Below are 4073 nucleotides of genomic sequence, written 5' to 3' on the forward strand. Positions count from 1 at the left end.
CCCAGACTGGAGTGCAGTGGCGTGATTTCGGCTCACTGCAAGCTCTGCCTCCAGGGTTCACCCCATTCTCCTGCCTGAGTAGCTGGGACTACAAGTGCCCACCACCATGCCCAGTTAAATTTTTTTTGTATTTTTAGTAGAGATGGGATTTCACCATGTTAGCCAGGATGGTCTTGATCTCCTGACCTCGTGATCTGCCTGCCTCGGCCTCCCAAAGTGCTGGGATTACAGGTGTGAGCTACCACACCCAGCCTAACTTGGACTTTCTTAAAGGAAAAAGGAAAAGCTCAATGCTGCCTCATTTCAGGAATAGTTGGATTTGTGTGTTCAAAAAATGTCATCAGGAGCTATCTCTACCTCTCAGTTTTGCTTTCAGCTATGTTGGTTTCATTCTCAAAATGGCTTTCTCCTTACAGAGACCCTGTAAGATCCAGGCTGACACTCTTGTAGCTACACATCCTTTAGTGAGACTACTTTGGTTGACACCAGCAACCCTCAAAATTCATTTTGACGAGATGGTTTTTGGGTTATGAATCTGCATGTAAGTAGGAGGCTTGGAGATTGAATAGGTGGATCATCTAGGCCTGAGTCATATATAGACTATATATAGATACAGAAGAAGCTGGAATGAACCAACCCAAACCACATGAACTGATATTGGGAATTGTTTTCTAGGAATAGAGAGGAGCTTTTACCAGAAAACACCTACAGAATGGCAAAACTGGAAATCACAGTCCACTCAGGTTCACCATGGTCAACCAACTGCAGATTAATTGCTCATCATTTATTTTCTTCATAAAATAAATGTTTATTTTTAATCTACAGGCTAAGATGGGTTTATTTTTTGGTTCTTGTAATTGAACATGTGTCTGTGCATGTGCCTGTGCACATCCTTTCTTTTTTTTTAATTTTTTGTGCATGACTCCTCTTTAAAGAATAACTAAGGGTACCAGGCTTCCTCTTCCTCTATCTTAAGACTCTTCATCTCAAAGCTTTCTCCAACCAACCATGGACAGGGGAAAACTATGAAGAATTCGAATATGCATGAGTGAGTGTTATGGGACGGGCCCGGATGCGCATATATGACTTCCACCTACATTTCATTAGTCAGAACACAGGGCCATAGTTGAACACAACTGCAAAGGGAACTAAGAAATGTAATTTATCTCTGAGCATAGAGGAGCTTAAACCTAATTCCCTGAATCTAATAAGTGGTTCCATTTTGTTTCCTGGGGTAAGGGAAAAAAAGTCTATGTCCGCATGCAAGAAAATGAGCTTCTTGCCTTGTTCTCTGTGCCTGAATCCCAGCTTTTATAGGGTTCCAGTATTTTGAGACATAACATTCTGATACCTTTAGAAAGATCCCTTAGCCACTACTTATCCAGGGATCAGCTCTTAGATCTCTGGTTTGCAAACTCCCAGCCAATCCTTGTCCTGTCCTGGAGGACATTCTCCAGGCCAGTAAGACTCTATTATGACATCCCTAACCTTATCACAACTCCATCCCCAAACTGACCACAGTAACTCTTATTGTGTTGATTGCTCTTTACCAACTTGTTTTTACTGCAGGAGCCATTAGCATTTACTTTCCCATGTTCAGCAATTTTTATGGCATTATTTCCAGCCGTGCTTTAGGTAACAGTCTGTCAACCCCTTGATAACAATCCCAATTTATCGCTAAGTTGTAAACATTGTCTCCAAGCAAAGATTGGCCTATAGGGTCTAAGCCCTGAAGCAATTTTATTTTTACAAATTCTAAATAAAACTTATGTTACTCAGAAGGTAATTCTGGGTGGGTCATGAGAAGAAGAAAAGGATTAAAACGTGGAGGAGAAGAGGGGAGGGAAAGGGGAGAGAGAGAGGAAGAGGGAGAGACAGAGAGAGAAAGTGAAAGGAAAAACTATCTGCAAAGCTTTGGAGTTCTTTCAAAGAAGAAATAAGAGAAAAAATATGTCACCACCTGTCAGAGGATAAAAGAAAGTAAAAGAATAAAACAGGTAAAACAATAAGATAGAGAGCCAAGAAAGCACAAACAAGGGGCAGGTTATAACTGAAAAAGTGTGTAGAGAAAATATTATGGAAAGGCATAGGAGAGAGGCCAGATAAGGGGCCTGTTTGAAAATATGTCTCTGTTTCCCTGCTTTAAACTCCTAACCAGCCATCATAGAATTCATCAGCAAGCACTGAATGATCATGTACAATTTGCTGGGCACATGTGTTATGTGTGTTCCCACAGATGCATGTTTTAAGGTGTGTATCCCATTTGAGCAATGGTGGATAAGAGGCAGAAGTGGAACAGATTCTCAGAGGTACAGGCTTTCAGAAGAGGGAAAGATCTATGTCAGCTGGAGAACTCAGAAAAGGATTATTAAGGGGAATGAGGGTTCAGCTGATCTTAGAAGTTTGAGCATGACCAAAACATAGAGATAAAGGCTGAGATCACTCTTAGTAGGAAGAGAAGAAGAAGGACATGTAAAGGCTGGACTTAATCAGGAAATCTGTAGTACGGGAACTGCAGTTGATGGAAGGATTTGATGGAGGGAGAGAAAGAGAGAAAACAGAATCAGATTAGAGAAAGTAAAGGAAAAAGAGGAAAGAATAAGAAAATAAAATAGAGAGAATGGGGGCGGGTGGAGAATTTAAAAAAAGACAAACTTTCAGAGACTTACAGATTTTCTGGGTGTAGAATGATGTTGTTGGCCTCACAGGGCACTGCTAAGAAGAGCTGGCCCTGCTCTGAGGCTAAGCTTCTGTAACTGTCCACTTGGAGAGTTGTAAGCTGAGAAAGCACAGGCTGACCCTTGGTCAGATGTCCTGAATTGCAGTCAGGTTGGCAGTGAAGCCATGTGATAACCCTGAACATCACCAGCTGAAATGCCAGTGTTAAAAGAGAGACACAAGCCATTATCAGTCTAATTCCAACATCCTTACCATGTCTGTTTCAGATACATTCTGTCTATTCAAATTCTGTGTTTTTTTTTTGTTGTCGTTGTTGTTGTTTTTGCCTTTTAGTATGCTTTTGTATTCTGTTTTTTCTTAATAGGCCATGATATACCATGTCAAAGGGACTGCTCCAAATAGTCCTTTAGTAATGTGGCAATAAGTTGTGGATGTGGGAAGTATTCTACAGCAGGTCCTGAAATAACATCATTTCCTTCGACATCATTTTGTTATAAAACCTATGAGAAAAAAAATTAATTCCCAGCTGGGGTCACTGTCTATGTGGAGTTGGCACGTTCTCCCTATGTCTGCAGGTTTTTTCGCAGGTATTTTGCAGTTTCCTTCCACATCCCACAGCTGTGCCCCTGAGATGAACTGGCATGTCTAAACAGTCCCAGTCTTAATGAGTGTGTGGTGTGTGTGTGTGTGTGTGTGTGTGGATATGTGTATGAGTGTGTCCTGGTATGGGATGGCATCCTGTCCAGCCACCTGAGATTCTGAATTAGAATAAAGGAGTAAATAATTATCTTGTTTTTATTAATCTTTGGGAAATGTACGTATAGCTCATATTTATTTTACTGTTTAATATTAGAAGTGTTTTGGGTTTTATTTAGAAGTTTGAGGATGTTGTTATGACCAGAAATATGCCATAGGAACTTAACTCTTGTTTATGTCAATTAGCCTGAAATAAAATTGGTGTCTTTATAGTCTGTTCACTTAAAGTCACAATTTTCAAGAACCTATCTGTGACTTTGATGACATACTGTATAGTTCTCTGATTAGGTTAGTCTTTTGGTAAGCATATGTATGCCTCCGGACTGAGATTTTACGTGTATTTCTCATTGTTTTTCTCTCCCCCTAGGTGGAGCAGAGTGGCTGGAGTGGGCTTGATTTGTGTGTTTCCCTTCTCATTGGAAGGCTAGACCTGACTGGAGTTGAGTATTTCTCTTCCCCCAGGTCAGTTAGGCTGTGATAATACCCCAGCAGCTTAGGTTCTGGTTAACTAGTTTCCCTTGAGTGCAGTCCTCTTTAAGAAGAACAGAGTGTTCTGCTGTATTTCAAAATGGTTCCTTTTCCCCTCCCTCTGCTGGAAACCCAAGGGGATTTTTCTCTGATATTTACTGTAAGAACTG

At 40.8% G+C, this 4073-nt stretch overlaps 1 annotated feature.

Moving 5' to 3' along the window:
- Nucleotides 999–1098: a silencer, noted in NCBI's record as "silent region_2801". NCBI's record gives its function as "represses an Ori minimal core promoter by ATAC-STARR-seq in GM12878 lymphoblastoid cells {active_cell/tissue: GM12878}" and the evidence as "EXISTENCE:reporter gene assay evidence [ECO:0000049][PMID:35858748]".

Source organism: Homo sapiens, chromosome 10 (genome assembly GCF_000001405.40).
Source record: "Homo sapiens chromosome 10, GRCh38.p14 Primary Assembly".
NCBI lineage: Eukaryota > Metazoa > Chordata > Mammalia > Primates > Hominidae > Homo > Homo sapiens.